The 19,776-nt window shown below is 47.2% G+C and overlaps 1 protein-coding gene and 1 non-coding gene across 2 annotated transcripts, besides 6 other annotated features; one reads left to right on the top strand and one right to left on the bottom strand.

The window, feature by feature from the left end:
- Positions 1–1,756: 1,756 nt before the first annotated feature.
- Positions 1,757–19,245, bottom strand: RNF114 (ring finger protein 114). The gene is made up of 6 exons (NM_018683.4): positions 19,090–19,245; positions 13,931–14,081; positions 10,154–10,260; positions 9,392–9,506; positions 6,287–6,394; positions 1,757–3,566 (listed from the first exon to the last, which is right to left on the bottom strand). Exons 1-6 carry the CDS (start codon positions 19,227–19,229, stop codon positions 3,501–3,503), a joined length of 687 nt encoding a protein of 228 aa, NP_061153.1. The 5' UTR covers positions 19,230–19,245; the 3' UTR covers positions 1,757–3,500.
- Positions 12,708–12,877: an enhancer, noted in NCBI's record as "experimental_60738 CRE fragment used in MPRA reporter constructs". NCBI's record gives its function as "activates a minimal promoter by MPRAs in K562 erythroleukemia cells, with activity observed for both the introgressed and non-introgressed 20:48559387 variant alleles {active_cell/tissue: K562}" and the evidence as "EXISTENCE:reporter gene assay evidence [ECO:0000049][PMID:34662402]".
- On the top strand, positions 15,242–15,346 carry LOC124904976 (small nucleolar RNA U13). Its single transcript, XR_007067768.1, has one exon. It is a non-coding gene; the product is annotated as a small nucleolar RNA U13 (small nucleolar RNA).
- Positions 15,956–16,250: a silencer, noted in NCBI's record as "tiled region #5689; HepG2 Repressive non-DNase unmatched - State 14:Gen5'". NCBI's record gives its function as "represses a minimal TATA promoter and a strong SV40 promoter by Sharpr-MPRA in HepG2 cells {active_cell/tissue: HepG2}" and the evidence as "EXISTENCE:reporter gene assay evidence [ECO:0000049][PMID:27701403]".
- Positions 17,876–18,170: a silencer, noted in NCBI's record as "tiled region #7979; K562 Repressive non-DNase unmatched - State 1:Tss". NCBI's record gives its function as "represses a minimal TATA promoter and a strong SV40 promoter by Sharpr-MPRA in K562 cells {active_cell/tissue: K562}" and the evidence as "EXISTENCE:reporter gene assay evidence [ECO:0000049][PMID:27701403]".
- Positions 18,456–18,750: a silencer, noted in NCBI's record as "tiled region #103; K562 Repressive non-DNase unmatched - State 2:TssF". NCBI's record gives its function as "represses a minimal TATA promoter and a strong SV40 promoter by Sharpr-MPRA in K562 cells {active_cell/tissue: K562}" and the evidence as "EXISTENCE:reporter gene assay evidence [ECO:0000049][PMID:27701403]".
- Positions 18,991–19,596: an enhancer, noted in NCBI's record as "H3K27ac-H3K4me1 hESC enhancer chr20:48552583-48553188 (GRCh37/hg19 assembly coordinates)". NCBI's record gives its function as "activates a minimal SCP1, AML or CMV promoter by ChIP-STARR-seq in primed H9 embryonic stem cells {active_cell/tissue: H9 hESC(primed)}" and the evidence as "EXISTENCE:reporter gene assay evidence [ECO:0000049][PMID:30033119]".
- Positions 19,209–19,398: a silencer, noted in NCBI's record as "silent region_13008". NCBI's record gives its function as "represses an Ori minimal core promoter by ATAC-STARR-seq in GM12878 lymphoblastoid cells {active_cell/tissue: GM12878}" and the evidence as "EXISTENCE:reporter gene assay evidence [ECO:0000049][PMID:35858748]".

The following is a 19,776-nucleotide window of genomic DNA, read 5'->3' as shown; positions in this document are numbered from 1 at the left end:
CAAAAAAACACAGAAAACATACCTGACCACGTCAGACTACCTCAAAATCCCACCACCACCATCACCACACAGTTCCAAGCCCCCATCACCAGCTGCCTGGATTCCTGCAGCCGCCTCCCTGGTCTCTGCTTCCTGTTTCCCTACTACAGTCCCTTCTCCAAACACAGCCAGAAGCATCCTTTAGGAATCTAAGCTGGATCACCTCACTTAGAACCCAAGAATGCTCACTGAGAAAAGCCCAAGGCCTGACCATGTGTACACAGCCCCTCTGGTCTGCCTTCCAGACTGCCCCGTGCTGCCTCATTCTCTCCCTCATTCACTCCACCATGGGCTTACCAGCCGCCTCCTTGCTGCAGGGCCTCAAGTGTAACCCATGGGCTCCCACCTTAAGGCCTCTGAACTTGGTTCCCTCTGCAAGGAATCCTCTTCCCCAACATGGTCACTGGGCTTCTCCCCATTTCATTCAGGTCTCAGTTCCAGTGTCATTTTCTCGACCTGTTTTGGCGTGACACGGGACTTCATTTCCAGAGGATGTCAGACCTCAAAGAAACAGGCACAAATTGCAATATTCTGAGGTAACTGGCGTCCAGGACTCAGCTGATACTTAGACAGAGGTGGCCTGCACGGATGTGAGGGAGGAAGAGGCCTCCCAGGTTTCTGGCTTGGGTAGTTACCACTGCAAGATGGAATAATACAAAAGAAGGCATGGGTGAAGATTGGAGATGCTGAACTGTCTCGGCTGTATTAAATTTGAGGTTCCAGGGCCGGGTGCAGTGGCTCATACCTGTAAAACCAGCACTTTGGGAGGCCGAGGCAGTCGGATCACGTGAGGTCAGGAGACCAGCCTGACCAACATGATGAAACACCACCTCTACTAAAAATACAAAATTAGCCGGGTATGGTGGTGGGCGCCTGTAATCCCAGCTACTCGGGAGGCTGGGGCAGGAAAATCACTTGAACCTGGGAGGCAGAGGTTGCAGTGAGCCGAGATTGCGCCACTGCACTCCAGCCTGGGCAAAAAGAGCGGAACCCTGACTCAAAAAAGCAAAACAAAACAAATAGGTTCCAGGCCAGGCTCGGACTGACACCTGTAATCCCAGCACTTTGGAAGGCCAAGGTGGACCACCTGAGCCCAGGGGTTCAAGCCCAGCCTGGGCAACATAGTGAGACCCTATCTCTTACTAAAAAAAATTAAAAAATAACGTTTCTATGGGATTGGAATGAAGCTCAAGCAGCCAAACACTACAGTGAGCACCCACGATGCAGCGCTGTGCAGGGAGAGCTCTGTGTACTTTGCTCCTTGGATCCTAGCATCCTTAAGAGGCAGATAAAATTATCCCCACTTCATAGGAGACAGGTTCAGAAAATATTCGCTAGATGCCCCACAGCTAACAGCAGAGTATGAACTTAAACACATCCAGGACCTGAAACTTGACCCTGCGGAGCCCCTTTACTACAAGCCCTCAGCACTGCTGCTGTTACCCGCACGTAGCAGAAGCCGCATGTCTAAAGCCTTGCTATATGGAGCGCTGCCACTTCTCACCTCCCAGAGCCTCCCAACTGTAACAAGTGTTCTTTTTCCAGAGGACAGGCACCATGAGGCCCAGCTGGTGGCATCAGCTGAGATTTGACGCCAAACAGGACTCAGCAACAAGCAAGAACTTCCCTTCTAGAAAGGGTAACCATCTTCTGGAGACTCCCCAAGCCCATGCTATGGCAAATGTGTTGAATGAAAACAAGAACCATAGCTTACCACTTAGATTAAGTTATGAAATTTATTTATATTTTACCTTTTAAAAGCCAGAACATAACAAATCTCACTTTCTGGAAAGTCATCTTATTAGAAATACAAGAAGTGCACTTAATACAAGGAAGTAAGTTTCTCGGTGCCACCAGTGAGGTGGACATACACTCACATCAGTCCCTCAAACGAAGGTTTCGCCAGATTTCCCTCCAGACTTCTGAGATGATCTGAATTCAGGAAGGTCTGAGTGAACTTCTTCCAGAAATTACAGTGAACAAGCTGACCTTAACTTTTGGGTCCTCCCGAGAAATACTAATGAAAAAACTATTTTTTTCCAGTGGGCCCTGTGTTTGCTGGCTTCTCGGCATCTGCAGCTCTTCACCGGCAGGCGCGGAGCCCCACAGCAGCAGTGTACAAGCGCGAGGTAGCACTTGCAGCCCCATCAGAGACATATGACATCAAAAAACCAACCTAAACCCATATGCCTTTTGGTCAATCAGAGGTTCTGCTCCTACAGATTAGGCTGACAGCTCTTGGACTTATATTTATTAATATTTGTGAAATATGAACTCCAAGGTTCTTGAGCTGTTCCTAAAGCAAGTTTCCAGCAACAGCTTTTATTAACAACTGTTCATCTTGCGATGTGCTGTGCCTTATGAACGATGTCTCGTCAGAACAGACCAGGGGTGGTACTGGGTTTCCTATAGCTTCTCTCTGCATCTACAAAGCAGGTTTTCAAACACATTTTACATGTCGAAACCAGTGTCATAAGGAAAACATTTGTGACAGAAAAACAATGCTCAGTTTAATCTAAGTTACCAAGCAGAAGGTAAAAGAACTAGTATCCGCTGAGTCCCCAAACCTCTTTCTTCTAATTCATCTGAGGATTTTTTGTGCTTCTAGAACAAGAATGTAGGCAGGCTCCCAAATGGAGAGGTAAACATGACCGCGTTGTTTGAAACTACTTCATTAATTTGTAAATCAGAACCAAAAAGCTCTGGCCCTCCCACTTCTCTTAGCTGACCCTCCTCCCCACTTACGGATAAACAGACTTTAACTTCCCTAACCCAGAAACACTTCCACCAAAAATGTATGGTTATACCTTATCCTAAAAAGGCACCATGCAGGCATTTAAGACTGAACCAGTGAACTCTAAATATGTAGTAGTAGAAAATATCACTAATCAAAACTTCCAGCATCAGATGGTACAAAACCCCAAGAGGACTGGTGACATGTACCCCGGGATGGCAACCCCAGCTTCTGGCAACCCCACAGCCCAGCGGGAGCTTCAGCTCTGGTCAGGTGCACGGCTGCCAAAGTCTGCACACCTTGGGGACAAGGAAAGGAGACACTTGCTTCATTGTGCTATTCATGACCCAGAAAAGGTCCTGGCTGGCTTGAAGGACCCGAGAGACAAACACTGGATGGGAGGAATGAGTGTGAAACAAGAGGTGGAGAAGCTAGATTATCTTCCACAGGAGGCGGCAGAAGCTCCAGGAAGTAGCCGAGAACCAATACGAACTCGACCGTGTGACAAACAAGGTTAACAGTAGGGGAAGACAGCTTTGGCAAGAGCCCAAAGGGAAGAGAAGGGCTGACCTGGGGACCCACTTCCCCTGTCAGAAGTGACCCTGTCCCAATGCCATGGCTCATTTTCAGGTCTGTTGAACAGGTAAGGTACAGGAGTCATAGATTTCACGTTTAATATGTAATGGAAGCTCTGTAACATGAGACAGATAGCAAGCACGGACTCTGCTCACTGGTCGATGATGGAGCGCTGCAACACCTGATTCATCATGTCCTCTTCATCAACATCATAATCCTAAGGGCAAAAAGAGACATGCAGCCTCAGCAACTGTTTCTAGATGCAAAGACTGGCTTTCAGTAGAAGCAGGACAGCCTAGCAACTGGATCCGGAGCAGGTTGCCAGGGACCGGATCCCCAGTGCAACTGTTTGTGATGCTAGGTATGTAACTTTGGGAAAATTAATCTGTCTCTGCTGCCTTCTCTTTTTTTTTATTTGATGGAGTCTCGCTCTGTTGCCAGGCTGGAGTGCAGTGGCACAGTCTTGGCTCACTGCAACCTCTGCCTCCCAGGTTCAAGTGATTCTCCTGCCTCAGCCTCCCGAGTAGCTGGGACTAACAGGCGTGCGCCACCATGCCCAGCTAATTTTTATGTTTTTAGTAGAGACAGGGTTTCACCATGTTGGCCAGGATGGTCTCAATCTCTTGACCTCGTGATCCACCCGCCTTGGCCTCCCAAAGTGCTGAGATTACAGGCATGAGCCACTGCACCCAGTCTGCTGCCTGATTCTTAAATGAAGTTAAGGATGCCTCCCTTAAATGGAGATTGAGAAACCCAGACAGCACACGAATGGAGGCTGGCACAGACCAAGTGCTCAGAACATTTGTAAGTCTGTCGGAACAGAGCACGCAGATGCACTGAGCTGAAGAGTTGTTTCTGAGAGGTGGAATCAGTGCACAGTACAGAATCAGATTTTTAGAGCCATACAATACAGCAGAAACTATAGCGCAACTAGCCCTCTTTAATGAGTCATTTTTAGGACTCATTTTTAATGAGTCATTTTTGTTAATGTGACACAGATGAATGTAATTCATCTGTGTCACATTAACAAAAAGGGCAGTTATTCTGAAGTCTGAGTTTCAGACACTGTCAGACTGAGAAAAAATATTCTTTATGACAATTTAGCAGAGAGCTTTCTTTCTTAGATACTGAAATTCAGCCATCAAGACCGAATACCACTCTAAAATCCTAACTTGACATCTATATATGTAAGTAAGAGGTTTACTTGATATAGTTGGCCAAAGTTACCTACTACTATAATGGCAAGACAACAGTGTGCCCCTTTGAAACCATCCAGCTCTAGGGAAAGAATATAAACCTGACAGCCGTATTTGGCTAGTGGATATATGCTATTTGACCTGAAGTATTTTTGAAGATAATTAAAACCTGTGAAACCTCCTGTGAAATTTTCCTGTCCTGCTTGGGCATGGGGGGTGGAGAAGCTAGGCAATGCTGCGCCTGCATTTCCATAGGAAAACAAGGTGATGGCAGCATAACGAGTCAGGCACCACCTGGCTTGGAAATCCTCAGGAGGATCATTTCAATTATGGTCCCCATGGACATGCGAGATTGAGCCTCCCAAGTCCAAATTGTTGTTGTGTGTGTGTGTTTTGTTTTTTTTTTTTTTTTTTGAGACAGGGTCTCATTCTGTTGCCCAGGCTGGAGTGCAGTGGCATGATCTCAGCTTGCTGCAACCTCCGTCTCTTGGGCTCAAGAGATCCTCCTGTCCCAGCTCCCTCAAAGTAGCTAGGACTACAGGTAGGAGCCACCACACCTGGTTACTTTTTGTATTTTTTGCAGAGACAAGGTTTTCCCATGTTGCCCAGGCTGGTCTCGAACTCCTGAGCTCAAGCGATCCACCTGCCTCAGCCTCCCAAAAATGCTAGGATTGTAGGTATGAACCACTGCACCGCACCTGTCCCCAAACCAAGTTCTATAACAGGCAGAAATTATATAAACCACAAGAAAAGTAGACAAAAATTTGGTGGCAGGGCTAGGAGATGGAAAGAGCAAGTATCACTGTCTCTGTCTCAAAGACTGACCAGATCATCTTCTTGTTTGTTTTGAGACAGTCTTGCTCTGTTGCCCAGGCTGGAGTGCAGTGGCACGATATTGGCTCACTGCAACCTTGCCTCCCAGGTTCAAGCGATTCTCCTGCCTCAGCCTCCCAAGTAGCTAGGATTACAGGTGCCCACCACCACACCTGGCTAATTTTTTTGTATTTTTAGTAAAGACGGGATTTCACTATGTTGGCTAGGCTGGTCTCGAACCCCCGACCTCAGGATCCGCCCACCTCGGCCTCCCAAAGTGCTGGGATTACAGGTGTGAGCCACTGCGCCCAGCCCAGATCATCTTCTTAAATGTCACTCTGGGCCGGGCGTGGTGGCTCACGCCTGTAATCCCAACACTTTGGGAGGCCAAGGTGGGCAGATCACGAGGTCAGGAGTTCGAGACCAGCCTGGCCAACATAGTGAAAGCCTGTCTCTACTGAAAGTACAAAAAGTAATGGGGCATGGTGGCATGCGCCTGTAGTCCCAGCTACTCAGGAGGCTGAGGCAGGAGAATCACTTGAACCCGGGAGGTGGAGGCTGCAGTGAGCTGAGATCACGCCACTGCATTCCAGCCTGGGCGACAGAGCAAGACTCCATCTCATGTAAGTAAATAAATGTCACTCTGGCCACCTGCCTGGCCCATGAATAGAAACTGTATAGTAGCTACAGTATACAGACTGGAAGCCCATCTAGCTCCCCAGCTACAGCTGCCTGCCCGCCTCTTCCACTCAGTCTTCTTTTCTCTCTTGTCAATCCCCTTTATCACTGTATCCAGTATACAGACTGGAAGCCCATCACAACAGCGACAAAGTTCAACACTGGGGATCCCCATTTCCCCTTTTGAGAAGAGTGAAGTAGCCGTGCCACTCCCCCAGGGGAGGGATCAGAGCCCAGGCTCCAGACTTACCACAAAAGTGTCATAAGAAAACCGGTGCCGGCGCTGGATGTGCTCTCTGAAGTTGGCGCTGCGGTAGTTGGGGTCTCCCCAGGGCATCGAGGCACATATCGGACAAACCTTTCAACACAAAAGCAAGGTCTTAGGCACCCAATTTCCAAGCTTGCACCAGCCCTCTGTGGCCTGTGTCTGGCCTCCTTTCTTCCAGGACAGCTTTCCTGACATACTGTCCAGGGCCAGTAACTCCTTCCTGTGCACATCAGCAGCCCAAAAAAACACTGCAAATTTCCAGCTCAAGTCAAATGACACGTGGGACTGGGTAAAGTTCAAATCATGATACCACCCTTTCTCATTCCCTACTGTAAGCAGAGAAGTGAGTCAGCCTGGTGGGGGGCCTAGACTGGCCTTCCAATCCAGCACACAAGACAATCCAAAAGCATGAGGAAAACTAAGAAAATAAGCCGATGAGCAATGTCCCAGGGAAGTAAAACACAGCCTTACATGCATCTTAACAAAGGAAATGCTCAGAAGAGGGGGATCAGGCTGAAAAGCCCTCACACAAAAGGTTGATTTGGTTTTTGAAGATTGGGAAGTATTTGGAAAGGCAAAGAGGACATGAAAGAGTGCTCCAGGCCGGGCACAGTGGCTCACACTTGTAATCCCAGCACTTTGGGAGGCCAAAGCGGTAGATCACCTGAGGTCAGGAGTTTGAGACCAGCCTGGCCAACATAGTGAAACATCTTCTCTACTAAAAATACAAAAATTAGCCTTGCATGGTGGCACACGCCTGTAGTCCCAGCTACCTGAGAGGCTGAGGCATGAGAATCGCTTGAACCCTGGAAGTGGAGGTTGCAGTGAGCCAAGATTGTGCCACTGCACTCCAGCCTCCAGCCTGGGTGACAGAGTGAGACTCTGTCTTAAAAAAAAAAAAAAAAAAATTGTGCTCCAGAAGAGAGGCAGCAGCACGGAGAAAAGGCCAGAAGGCGGCAGTTACTGTCAACACATGTAAACAACCAGACCAGTGAGTGCAGAAAACTCATGCCAGGGAGAGAGAAGACCTAAGTGCCCCCACTTAAAGGTGGAACCCTACCCCACAGCAAGGAAGATACAGTGATAAAGGGGATTGACAAGAGAGAAATCTGGAATGGTAGAAGACTGAGTGGAAAAGGTGGGCAGGCAGCTGTAGCTGGGGAGCTAGAACATAGGGTGGGACTAGAGACTGAAAAGGAGATGGCTTCTAAAGGGAAGGGAGAAACGCAGAGTTAAGAACTTGCAGAGGGCCGGGCGCGGTGGCTCACGCCTGTAATCCCAGCACTTTGGGAGGCCGAGACGGGCGGATCACGAGGTCAGGAGATCGAGACCATCCTGGCTAACACGGTGAAACCCCGTCTCTACCATAAATACAAAAATTAGCCGGGCATGGTGGCGCGCACCTGTAGTCCCAGCTACACGGGAGGCTGAGGCAGGAGAATGGCGTGAACCCGGGAGGCGGAGCTTGCAGTGAGTCGAGATCGCGCCACTGCACTCCAGCCTGGGCGACAGAGCGAAACTCCGCCTCAAAAAAAAAAAAAAAAAAAAAAAAAAAAAAAAAAAAAAAACTTGCAGAGGGAGAGGAAGACAGAACAGAGGGCCAAAGGCTGAAGAGAAGGCCTCAACATAGACAACATAATCAGAGGGATTTCAGAAGCCAAAGGAGGGGAAAAAGACAGAAAATTAGGCTGCCATACCAGAAAAGTTCAGCAATAACAGTATCCAACAAAATTATGAGTGCAAGTAACATTTAACCAAGTCAATCTGTATCTAAGACTTTAGCTTATAAACATACATAGATACAGGCAAAGATATGTTTCTCAAAATGGCCAGTTCCATCTTAAGATGAGCATTGATAGCTGCCCTAGTACTCTCACAAAAGCTCATTAAAATTCTAAAATTTCTGCACCACTGTTTACAGCAATGGAGCTGAAGGCTGCCCATACAACAGAGTATGTAGTTCAAGAGAAGCAGTATGAGATAAATGGAAAAATTAAAACTATAGAGGAAGTATACACCTAACTATAAAAAAAGACCTGGTCTGTCAATCACATTGAGAGAGAAAGGTAACACATTGCTAAGATGGAACAAATACTTTTTTGGGGGGGGGGGGGGGGGGGGGGGCAGTTTTGTTCTGCTGCCCAGACTAGAGTGCAGTGGCAGGATCTCAGTTCACTGCAACTTCTGCCTCCCAGGTTCAAGCAATTCTCATGCCTCAGCCTCCCAAGTAGCTGGGATTAAAGGCGCCCGCCACCATGCCTGGCTAATTTTTGTATTTTTAGTAGAGATGGGGTTTCACCATGTTAGCCAGGCTGATCTTGAACTCCTGACCTCAACTGATCCACCCGCCTTGGCCTCCCAAAGTGCTGGGATTACAGGTGTGAGCCACCGTGCCCAGCCTACATTTTTTTTTTTTTAAAGGAGACTACACATGCCAGTAGGTAATATCTGAGTAAAATGTCCAAGGATTGATAAGCCTTTTCCTAATAATTTCACCTAAATCCTCTTTCCCCACAACTATGAAGAAGCTACTTCCAAAAATAAAATGGCAGCTTCATGGAGAAATTTGGTGGACACCAAGGGAACCAAGTTAATGTTACCAACAACAGACATCACATGACTTAATGTAGCACCCAGAGGACAGAGAACTCGTGTACCATCCCTGCCTCTGCCTTGGGGGGAGGGGGAAATTGCTATGAAAGACATTACAATTGTTAAAATTAAAACATGAATTTCACATTAGACATTAGATTGAATCAATGTTAAATTTCTTGAATATGATTAATTATACACACAAAAATATAATTTTCCAAGAAAACATTCTTGTTCTTAAGACATACACACTCCTGTATCAGGGTGCGAAGTATTCAGGGTGCAAAAATGGTCATGGTATCTGTAGCTTATTCCCAAGTGGTCAGCAAAAAATGTGTACTATAGAGCATGGTTAAGCAAATATGGTAAAATGTTAACAATCTGTCAATCTAGGTGAAGGGCACACAGGAGTTCATTCTACTAATCCCGTCATTTTTCTCCAAGCTTGATCCTTTCCCTTAATGAAGTTTAAAAAAAAAAAAAAAGGTTACTCACCACAGATTTGGTATCCGTGCTATGGAATAATTTGCAGTGTTCCACAAGTCCTTCCTGATCAAAGTTCTTCTCAGGACAGTAAGGACAAGGAAAGGTGTAACGGTTTGGAACATTCCTGGAAGGTGAAACACAGGAAAAAAGAAAACTTTTCTGTGAGTACCTTTCCATTAAACTTCAACCACAGTACACTCCAAAAAGGAGCAAAGCTCACCAAATGTGTAATGATAAGGATGCTGATGATCACTTCAGACTCAGGTCAAGTGTTGTGAAAATAACAGCTCAGCTGGCCGGGCGTGGTGGTTTACGCCTGTAATCGCAGCACTTTGGGAGGCCAAAGCAGGCGGATCACCTGAGATCAGGAGTTCAAGACCAGCCTGACCAACATGACAAACCCTGTCTCTACTAAAAAATACAAAATTTAGCCAGGCATGGTGGCAGGTGCCTGTAATCCCAGCTACTTGGGAGGTTGAGGCAGGAGAATCGCTTGAACCCGGGAGGCAGAGGTTGCAGTGAGCTGAGATTGCACCACTGCACACCAGCCTGGGCAACAGAGCGAGACTCTGTCTCAAAAAAGAAAAAAAGAATATAGCTCAGCTAACATCTGAAGTGAACACCAGAGTCCTCCCTTGCATACTCCTCCCAAAATACTTGTATCAGCTTTAGCCAGCATAACAATTCATACAACTAAACCCCTGGGCATGCAACCTCTTTGTATTAATAGCAAGAGATGACCTCCACCTAAGGGGAGACTGAGTCATTTACCTTGGCTGAAGAGATGCATCCTTAATGGTGGCCTTCACACCTTCCATGATGTAATTCTGGTATTTGGAACAAGTAGCCACGTGGGACCGGATCTTGGACAGGAAGAACTCAAATAGGAAGAATCAGAGCCCATAAGTTAGTGAGGACCTTGCAACAGGCAAAATATAGTCCCAAACAAGGGCACAAAGAAAACTAGACCTACACCACCCTGGCAAATAATCTCACCAAACTCCTGACTACGCTGATGGGGCTGAAACCCTGATTATTGCAGATTTCCCATTAATACCAAGGCTGCTATTTTATTCGACTAAATCAGGATATCCACTTCCACTCTAAAATAACTCTCCTAGAGGTTTGCTCCTATTCATGATAGGCTGTCTGCTCACAGACAAGCTCCAAATCTAGGATGTTTTTAAAAGTTTTCTATACTAGCATTTAAACTAGTCTCCTTACAGCAAGCCAAAAACCACATTCTGTTATGTGCAGCAGAGAAAAGTGATCCTTTAGGTAAAACATATAAAAGCCACTAACCCTGGTTAAAGTATCTATCACCAGCCTCTGAGAAATAATCTTTAAAATCTAAATTCTCTTTTTTTTTTTTTTTGAGACAGAGTCTCACTCACTCTGTCGCCCAGACTGAAGTGCAGTGGCACCATCTCGGCTCACTGCAACCTCCGCCTCCCGGGTTCAAGTGATTCTCCCACCTCAGCCTCCTGAGTAGCTGGGATTACAGGTGTGTGCCATCAGGCCCAGCTAATTTTCATATTTTTAGTAGAGATGGAGTTTCACCACGTTAGCCAGGCTGGTCTCGAACTCCTGACCTCAAGTGATCTGCCTGCCTCAGCCTGCCAAAGTGCTGGGTTTACAGGCGTGAGCTACCACGCCCGGCCCAGCCTTTCATATAAAATCTAGGCTGTGCAACAGTAAAACAGAAAGAGAAGAAAACCCAGAGAATAGTGCTTCATTACAGGTTTTCTAAAAAGAAAGAAAGTTTTAAGAATTGAAGAAAAGAGGGAAGATAAAGGAAAGAAAAACATTTTCTGAGGCATGCCAACAGTACAATCACTAATCTTGAAAATGGAGAAAAGCAAAAGCATACAGTAAAACAAACAAAAAGCCCATCATGGGCGGAGTACGGTGGCTCACACCTGTAATCCTGAGGGAGGCTGAGGTGGGCCATCACTTCACGCTCCCGAGTTCGAGATCAGCATGGGCAACATGCAAAACTCGTCTCTACTGAAAATACAAAAAAATTAGGCAGGCGTGGTGACACATGCCTGTAGTCCCAGCTACTTGAGAGGCTGAGGTGGGAGGATGGTTTGAGCCTGGGAGGCAGAGGTTTCAGTGAGCTGAGACCACGCAATTGCACTCCAGCCCGGGCAACAAAGCCAGACCCTGTCTCAGAAAAAAAACAAAACAAAACCAAAAACCACATTATGCATGCATAAATAAAGATGAAGAGACCGGGTGCAATGGCTCATGCCTATAATCCCAGCATTTTGGGAGGCTGAGGCGGGCGGGTCACGAGGTCAGGAGATCGAGACCATCCTGGCTAACACAGTGAAACCCTGTCTCTACTAAAAATACAAATATATATATATATATATATATATATCTCTGTGTGTATGTATGTGTGTGTGTGTGTGTGTGTGTGTATATATATATAGCTGGGCGTGGTGATGGGCACCTGTAGTCCCAGCTACTCAGGAGGCTGAGGCAGGAGAATGGCGTGAACCCAACAGGCGGAGCCTGCAGTGAGCTGAGATCACGCCACTGTACTCCAGCCTGGGCAACAGAGTGAGACTCCGTCTCAAAAAAAAAAAAAAAAAAAAAAAAAGAAGACAGTAGGGAATTGTATTTCAATATTTTGAGTTTCTAAAAGTAAACTTCAAAGGGGGAAAAAAATGCTCCAATATTTGAGCTCCAGCTTACCATGATGATTGTCTCACCTCCAGCTCAAGAACTTGACTTTAAGCTACAAACTGAGGAATCCTCAATTTTTTTTTCCTTTTTTTGTAGAAACTGGGTCCACTATATTCCCCAGGCTGCTCTCAAACTTCTGGGCTCAAGCAATCTTCCCACCTCAGCCTCCCAAGGAGCTGGGACTACATGCATACACCACTACACACAGCTGGTTTTGTTTGTTGGTTTGTTTTGGTATATACAGAGTCCCACTATGTTGCCCAGGCTGATTTCGAACTCCTGGGGTCAGTGATCCTCTTGCCTTGGCCTCTCCAAATGATAGGATATAGGCATGAGCCACCATGCCCAGCCTCAAGAGTGAAGCCCCCAATTAAGACACAGAAAATAGCCCTATTCAGCATTGAAATGGCCCTACTATGCATCCCTAATACTAAATCACGCTGAAAAGGAGATGGTAAGGTATATTCTTACTATGGGCATCCATACCGAAGTGTTAAAAATAATGAAACTGACATGCAAGGCTGTCCAATATGTAAGAGAAAAAAAACCTGAAAAGTGGAAAAAAAAAGTTGGGAATGAGTGTACATTTAAAAAAGTGAAAAAAGTTGAAGAAATATATATATTATAGTATAATCTCATTTTGCAAAAATCCTACAACTTGGTTGGTAAAAATTCTACAGTGTTTGTCAAAGGGCAGAAAATGTTATGCAGCTTTCGAAATTAAATCACTTTTTTTTTCCTTGAGACAGGGTCCGGCTCTATCACCCAGGATGGAGTGCAGTGGCACGAACTCAGCTCACTGCAACCTCTGCCTCCTGGGCTCAAGCCATCCTCTCACCTCAGCCTCCCGAACAGTTGAGACTACGGGCACACACCACCATGCCCTGCTAGTTTTTTGTATTTTCAGTAGAGCCGAGGTTTCACCATGTTGTCCAGGCTGGTCTAGAACTCCTGGACTCAAGCAATCCACCCACCTTGGCCTCCCAAAGTGTTGGGATTACAGGCATGAACCACCTTGCCAGGCCTTAAGTTGAACGAATTTTGAAGTAATCTCTGGAATGAGGAACAAGCCTACATTATTGTGTACTTTTGTATGGTCTGCAATTTTAAAAATTTTAATGATTCTAAAATCAACAAGGCTGTGTATATCTCTTGGAAAATAAGACAACAGTATTTCTCCTTTCCAGTAGCAGTTATAACAGGTATGAAAATAAATATACTTGACTCTGATTATACAAGAGCATGGATGCATTTCAAATGTTAGCTATTGTTATTACAATCCAATGATTTCATATTGACTTTTTTTTAAGAGACAGGGTCTTGCTGTCAGCCAGGCTGGAGTGCAGTGGCATGATCATAGATCACTGTAATCCCAAACTCCTGGGCTCAAGTGATCCTCTGGCCTCTGCCTCCTGAGTAGCTGGGCCTACAGGTACATACCACCACACCCGGCTAATTTTATTTTTTTGTAAAGATGAGGTCTCACTATGTTGTCCAGGCTGGTCTCTTAACTCCTAGCCTCAAGCTCTTGCCTCGGACTCCCAAAGAGCTGGGGTTACAGGAATGAGCCACCGCGCCTGGCCATAATTGATCTTTTATAGGAAAAAACTGGGATAACTGATTTCTATGGCTTTCAAACCTAAAATATATACTTAACCAACTCTTAAAAAAAGAAACAAAAACCAGTAAGGTTATGAAAACAAACCAGCCCAGCCATCACCACAGGTAATTGGCATGCACGCGTGCTGTTAGTGACCTAGTCATGCTCTAACTTCAGCAACAACATGGCAGCTGTACGTTTTACCCCAACTTATCATGGAAAGACATGGACTCTTCCACATCACTTCCACATACATTCTTACGGCAGCCATGGCAAGAAGTCTCTGTGCTCTCGATCTGCCGCTCGAGCTCCACGGCTCGGACGCCAGGTGCCAGAGCGCTGCGACACACCCCACAGACAGGCTTCTTCGGCTTCAGACATTCCTGCAGGCATGCAGAGCAAAAGCTAGAACAAGACATACAGAGAACCTCTGTCACGCATCATGGAGACAAGACGACAAATATGGATCAACTTTTAAAAAGACATCAATGGATAATGGAGTAAAAAACAACTTGCTCTCTCCTCCCAGTTCAAATACTAAGTCCTTCCAAGCCAGAAAAAATGAGGGATAGGAGTGGACTACAAAGAACACACAACTACAGAAACAAATGCAAACTCCTGTGATAGACACAGTGAAGGTGTTAAGGTTGAGGCTTCAAGCCTTAGGCCCTGCCACTGAAGGATCTCAGTGGGGTTTCTTGAATCTCCATTTTTTCCTTTGTGAAATGGAGAGAGTAGTACCTACCTCTAGGACTGCTGGGAGGATACAGTTTGTATAGCAGACCCCTGGCAGAGTGTCCAGCCCTTACAAAACGCACCACAAACGGGAGCTGCTATCATTACAGGTGAAGGCAAAGCGCTACAGGAACATAAAGGGAAAATCAACTAGTGACCTGAGAAGGAAAGGGCTGGTAAGACTGCAGTGAAGGCTGGGAGCGGTGGCTCACGCCCGTAATCCCAGCACTTTGGGAGGCCAAGGCAGGCAGATCACGAGGTCAGGAGTTTGAGACCAGCCTTACCAACATGGTGAAACCCGTCTCTACTAAAAATACCAAAATTAGCCAGGCATGGTGGCAGATGCCTGTAATCCCAGCTACTCGGGAGGCTGAGGCAGGAGAATTGCTTGAACCTGGGAGGCAGAGGTGGCTGCACACTCCAGCCTGGGCAACAGAGTGCGACTCTGTCTCAAGGGGGGGGTGGAGGGGAAGACTGCAGAGACGGCATCTCTGATCAGCCTTAAAAGGGTTCAGCTCAGCCAGGCGCGGTGGCTCATGCCTGTAATCCCAGCACTTTGGGAGGCCGAGGCGGGCAGATCACAAGGTCAGGAGATCGAGACCATCCTGGCTAACACAGTGAAACCCCGTCTCTACTAAAAATACAAAAATTAGCTGGGAGTGGTGGCGGGTGCCTGTAGTCCCAGCTACTCGGGAGGCTTAGGCAGGAGAATGGCATGAACCCAGGACGCAGAGCTTGCAGTGAGCCAAGATCGCGCCACTGCACTCCATCCAGCCTGGGAGACAGAGCGAGACTCCGTCTCAAAAAAAAAAAAAAAAGGGTTCAGATGGATCCTTTTGTAGTTCATGAACCTGAGGACTGGGTGTTCATGTGCATGTGTGAGATGTGCCACCCTCGAACCTTGTTACAGATGTTGGCCCATTACCCCTCTGGCATTTTAAAAAAAGAGGTCAGCTAGCAGAGGAAGGGAAGACTATTCTAGGCCTAATTTAGGCTTAAAATTGATATGTATCTGAGGAAATAAAAATCTAACAGACTTTTCCTCATAAACAGTAGGGAGCCAGGAGTTTAAAAGGAAGGTATTAACAAAACAAGGCCAAATCCAGGTTTCAGAAAAATATCTCTGTGCTATCATGGAAAACAAAGTTTTGTTACTTTTTTTTTTTTTTTTTTTTTTGAGACAGAGTCGTGCTCTGTTGCCCAGGCTGAAGTGCAATGGTGCAATCTCGGCTCACTGCAAAATCTGCCTCCCCGGTCCAAGCGATTCTCCTGCTTCAGACTCCCAAGTGGCTGGGGTTACAGGCGCGCATGACCACACCCAGCTAATTTTATATTTTTAGTAGAGACGGGGTTTCACCACGTTAGCCAGGCTGGTCTCGAACTCCTGACCTCTGGTGATCCACCCGTCTTGGCCTCCCAAAGTGCTGGGATTACAGGTGTGAGCCACTGAGCCCAGCCCTATAGTTTTTTTTTTTTTTAGGTGAGAAGGTGAGAAGAGACAAAGTAGAAACCAAACAGATGGCTAAAGGCAGAGGATTGTGAGGGTCTGACTGAAGCAGCAGGGGATGAATTCAGGAAACCATTCACAGAAAGGTAGAATCAGGAGGACTTGATAACTTACTGACTTTGAAGAAAAGAAGTCAAAGATGACCGAGTTCCTATCCTGAAGCCTAGGAAGATGGTAATGCTGAGATAAGGCATACAGAAAGAATGGAGAAGACACCCTGGGCTACTTACCCAACCTGATAGATTAAGACAGTATAACCAAATCTGCCAGAAAGAACTAAAGATATATAATGAAAGGCCATCTTCTGAACACTTGACCATTTTCTACTGCCTCTAAGAATCTCCTTCCTCCTTGTCATTAAGTTAGATGTTAATGCTGTTAGGCAAAATTCCAGACCAGGTACAGAGAAGGTGAGGGAGTCTATTCATTCACCACTGAGGGCAATGGAAACTTGACAAAGCCCTGTTCTCATGATGCTTACATTCTAGAGTGAAGGGAAACACAAATGTTAATTTCAGATAGTGATTAAAAATATGAAGGAAATATGGCAAACAGACCAGCTGGGGTGATCATAGAAAGCTGCTTCTGAGGAGTTGGCATTTGAGCTGGGTGGGACCTGATTACGAGGACAGCCACACAGATCTGGGTGCAGAGCTCCACACCAAGATCACGCCACACACAAATGAGGACTGGAAAGGAAGGCAGGCAGACCTTGGGGGCCATGATGCGGTAGACCATGGTGAGAAGGGCAAGTGATGAGGCAGTAGAGACAGGCAGGGCCTGTGGCCATCACTTGTGTTGCCTGTTCACAAAGGCAGATGACAAGAGGAACCCAAGAGAGCACAGAGGGTCCAGTGAGTATAATGGAACCAAACCCAGCATGCAGATAAAAGCAGCTCGAAGTCTCTTCTCAAGCACACACACAGGTACAGCTCATCTATCAAATGTTCACGAGTCACTTTGTGCCTGAGACATGCCCAAACTACCAGCCTGCTTTTGAACAACTCAAATATCCTGGGATGGCTTTTCAGTTTCTATTTCCTACTTATGCGCCCTTTTCTAGTTCAGCCTTCCGATGCTCCACTCCGTCACAGTGCTAGGAAGAAATTCCCTTCTCTTGGGCACCCAGCCAGCTGCCTTTCTCCAGCTGTATTCTACCAGATTGGAGAACACAGTCATTCAGGGCTTGAAATAAAGTTTTATAAAAATCCAATGCCCCAGCCAGAGTTGCAGTGATGCTCAACTTTCCAAGCACAAAAGGTAAAAATCAACTAGGCACAGGAGAAAGCAGTCGGTTGGAGCTAGCGGGGATTTGGGCTGCCCTCACAGAGGTGCTTCCATCTGTCTTCAATTTGCACTGAACTGCTGATCACGTGGGGCTAGGACAGCGAGGATAGAGAAGAGCCAAGGTTTGAAAACCAGTACTGTTCCTTGCCCTCTGACCTAGGAAAGGTTCACCAAGCTCAAGAAAATCTCAAATTTTGCTGCTCTTCATTTAGCAAACTGTGCTGGGTCTAGCCTTTTTACAAATGTTAATAGTAAATGAAATCCACTGAATTAATCCAAAATCAGGTAAATCTGATCCAAGGATAAGTGGATTCAATGAAAAAGCTAAAGACCACTTCAACTCTCGTGAAGCTTGCTTACACGACTTATTAGTTCATTCAACCATTACCTGATCACTCACCCCACGCACAGAGGTGTGATCCCTGAAATACCCTCCCACTTGCAGAATGAATTTTTACAATAGTTTGACCAGTCATTGGTACTTATTTATAATCAATTCACTGGACTGTAAACTCTGAAGGCAGAGTCTACCCCAAAATCTGGCACACAGAGGCCATTCCAGTCAGTTCAGGGGCAATAAAGATATGGCCACTCCGTCATGAGCTGTTAAGTTTTGCTCTGTGCAAGCAAGGAGAAGGAAGTTAAGTCCCAGAAAGGAAGTGGGGGAAGTAATTTAGATGGGGATGGTATTTGGTGAGGTAACTTAACCTGGGACTTGAAGCCTGAAAAGGGAGGGGTGGGGGGAAGAGTTCCAGGCTAACCGAATTGCAAAGATGAATAGCCTAAAGCAACATGATGAAGCAAAAAGCAGCCAGCTAGGTGCCAAGCACTGTTCTCTGGACTACTGAAATGGTCACCTGCAGTACATCTGGGAAGAGCTAGGCCACGGTGACCCTTCCCTAAGAGAGCCTCGGACCCTCAGTGTATTCACCTGTAAAATGGCTGCCAACCCTCCCCCGCTGCAGGGTGGCTATAGAATAATGCCCATGGAGTGCAATGGCTACTGTGCCCGCTGCCAAGACCAATGCCAAGGTGATCCCACGATAAGCACTGAGAGGGGCCAGAGGAAAAGCCAATTCTGAGGCAAGAAGCAGGTGGCCACGTTGTCTACAATTCTTTCAACTCAGATGTGTTTGTGCGTCTGATGGAACAAGGCTTAGATTCAAATCGACCAACCTGACCAACCTCGAAAGCCCCGGCCACAGCCCAGGACCTGGACTGGACATTTATACACATATCTGCTTTAATCATTATAACCACTCTATTCACAATATTCAGGTCATGAAGGCTTAATTGAAAACTGAAAGAAACAAACCTCCTACACAGGAAGTAGAATGCTAACAATCCCATCTGCCAACTCCCACCCCCCTTTCACAGCTAAGGGCAAACTGGCCAGATCCCCATAAAGACTTCCCTTTTGTTGTTTTAGTCTAGTTCAGCGTTTCTCCCGACTTTAGTGCACAGTAGAATAACTCGCCACAGCTAGACACGACGCCAAATGTCCTATGCTTTAAGAGCGACGTGGACTAGAAAGGAAACGTCGGCTCTCCAAGGGCGGACTTCGGAGCCTAAAGTCCCCGCAGGGCACGAGTCCACTATCACGTGTGGGAAGGAGACTGACAGGCCGCCTGGAACATCGCAGGCGCTCAACAGACAGCAGCTGCCCCGCTAAGACGGGCGGAGGAACGGGATACTTAGGAGTGAGCGGGGCGGGACAGAAGAGCGCCCCGGCAGCTTTCACGGCCCTTAGGAGCCCCGGGGGACACCCCCGGGAGGCCCCTCTGGGTGGGTCCTCTGGCTCCCGCCCTGAGACCCATCTCGCTCCTCGGCTCCATTCCCTTCCCAGTTAAGCGCCCCCCGACCAGGCCCGGGCTCGCCGCTTACACGTGTCCGCAGGGCACCTGTACCGGCTTCTCGTACACCTCTAAGCACACGGGACACGTGAAGCGTCCTAGGGGGTCAGCCTCCGCCGCCGGCCCCGCCAGCTGCGCAGCACCCCCGCAGTCCCGCTGTTGCGCCGCCATCTTGCTGCCGCTCTGCGCCGCGCAACGGCGGCCGATGAGGAGGAGGCCGAGGGGGCGGGGCTCGCGGGGCGGTGAGCGGTTGGGGGCGGGGCTAGCGGGTGGGCCGCCCCTCGGGGCCCCTCTGACGCAAGCGAGCTAGAGGCCGAGGGAAATCTGGAAAACGTGGAAGCCAAATCCAAAGGCTGCCAGAATTGGGACGGGCTCTGCGCGTGGGCCGCTGTTTTCCAAATTTATCGTTAGTTCGGCACCACTTGCACTATCACTATTTATCTTCGAATCAAGTTGCTTTTTCCTTAAATTTATTTATTTATTTATTTAATCTATTTTGGGACAAGGTCTTGCTTTGTCGCCCAGGCTGGTGTTCAGTGGCGCGCGCGATCATGGCTCCCTGCAGCCTCGACCACCGGGGTTCAAGCGATCCTCCCACCTCAGCCTCCTGCGTAGCTGGACCACAGGCAGTCACCACCATGCCGGACTAATTTATTTATTTTTGTATTTTTTGTAGAGACGGGGAAAGGAGGGGGGGAAGGAGTGGTGCAGAGAGCGG

The sequence above is a fragment of the Homo sapiens genome, chromosome 20 (genome assembly GCF_000001405.40).
Source record: "Homo sapiens chromosome 20, GRCh38.p14 Primary Assembly".
NCBI lineage: Eukaryota > Metazoa > Chordata > Mammalia > Primates > Hominidae > Homo > Homo sapiens.
This window is presented reverse-complemented; position numbering and strand designations above follow the sequence as displayed.

What these genes read in the sequence shown, in the direction of transcription:
- RNF114 (NM_018683.4), bottom strand. Translation starts at nt 19,229, where the DNA reads ATGGCGGCGCAACAGCGGGACTGCGGGGGTGCTGCGCAGCTGGCGGGG. An exon ending in GCACGGATACCAAATCTGTG is followed by an intron (nt 6,395 to 9,391) that starts GTGAGTAACCTT and finishes TTGTGTTGAAAG; the next exon opens with GTTTGTCCGATATGTGCCTC. An exon ending in TTTCTTATGACACTTTTGTG is followed by an intron (nt 3,567 to 6,286) that starts GTAAGTCTGGAG and finishes TTTTGCCCTTAG; the next exon opens with GATTATGATGTTGATGAAGA.